At 52.1% G+C, this 1,285-nt stretch overlaps 1 annotated feature.

The window, feature by feature from the left end:
* Nucleotides 255-755: an enhancer, noted in NCBI's record as "H3K4me1 hESC enhancer chr18:10181864-10182364 (GRCh37/hg19 assembly coordinates)". NCBI's record gives its function as "activates a minimal SCP1, AML or CMV promoter by ChIP-STARR-seq in primed H9 embryonic stem cells {active_cell/tissue: H9 hESC(primed)}" and the evidence as "EXISTENCE:reporter gene assay evidence [ECO:0000049][PMID:30033119]".

Below are 1,285 nucleotides of genomic sequence, written 5' to 3'. Positions count from 1 at the left end.
GAAAGGCCCTGAGAGTTCGCTGGGTCCCCAACAGCCCATTCCTGCCTGGCACCACAGGGATCCATCCGGAGGGTGGGCAGAGGAGCAGGGCAAAACACCACAGGAAGAAGGAAATCTCTAGCTGAACTTTGTAACAATTTGAACAAGGCGAGTAGCCTCCTGGCCAGAACTCGGGGGAGGGTGCAAGTCCAGGGTGCAGACTCCACAGGCAGAGGAAGAACCAAGTCCTTTTTTTTCCCCCGCAACTGGGAAGCAGGTAGCCTGAGGCAACTTTTCAAGCCTGTCCTGCCCTCCACCTGGAAACAGACTCAGGGCTGTTGGTGGGGGGACACGGTGGGAGTGAGACCAGCCCTTCAGTTTGCATGGGAGCTGGGTGAGGCCTGTGACTGCCGGCTTTCCCCCACTATCCTGACAACCTGCATGACTCAGCGGAGGTAGCCGTAATCCTCCCAGGTACACAAATCCAGTGACCTGGAAATCTCACTCCCATCCCTCACAGCAGCCACAGCAAGACCCACTCAAGGAGAGTCTGAGCTCAGGCACGCCTAGCTCCACCCCACCTGCTGGTCCTTCCCTATCTACCCTGGTAGCGGAAGACAAAGGGTATATAATCTTGAGAGTTCTATTTCCCTGCCCACCACCGGTCCCTCTCCACACTACTATGGCTGATGCTTTCTGGAAATTGGAACCTCCTGGCAGGTGGCCAACCGGCACAAAAATAGAGCATTAAACCACCAAAGCTGAGGACCTTCACGGAGTCCATTGCGCCCTCTGCCACCTCCACCGGAACAGGCGCAGGTATCCATGGCTCAAAGACCCATAAACAGCTCACATCAGAGGACTCTGTAGAAAACCCCCAGTACCAGCCTGGAGTTGGGTAGACTCACTGAGTGGCTAGACCCAGAAGAGAGACAATAATCACTACAATTCAGCTCACAAGAAGCCACATCTATAGGAAAAGGGGGAGAGTACTACATCAAGGGAACATCCCATGGGACAAAAGGATCTGAAAAACAGCCTTCAGCCCTAGACCTTCCCTCTGACAGAGCCTACCCAAATGAGAAGGAACCAGAAAACCAACCCTGGTAATATGACGAAACAAGACTCTTCAACACCCCACAAAAATCACAGTAGTTGGACAGCAATGGATTCAAACCAAGAACAAATCCCTGATTCACCTGAAAAAGAATTCAGGAGGTTAGTTATTAAGCTAATCAGGGAGGGACCAGAGAAAGGCAAAGCCCAATGCAAGGAAATCCAAAAAATGATACAAGAAGTGAAGGGA

This window comes from Homo sapiens, chromosome 18 (genome assembly GCF_000001405.40).
Source record: "Homo sapiens chromosome 18, GRCh38.p14 Primary Assembly".
Taxonomy (NCBI): Eukaryota; Metazoa; Chordata; class Mammalia; order Primates; family Hominidae; genus Homo; species Homo sapiens.
This window is presented reverse-complemented; position numbering and strand designations above follow the sequence as displayed.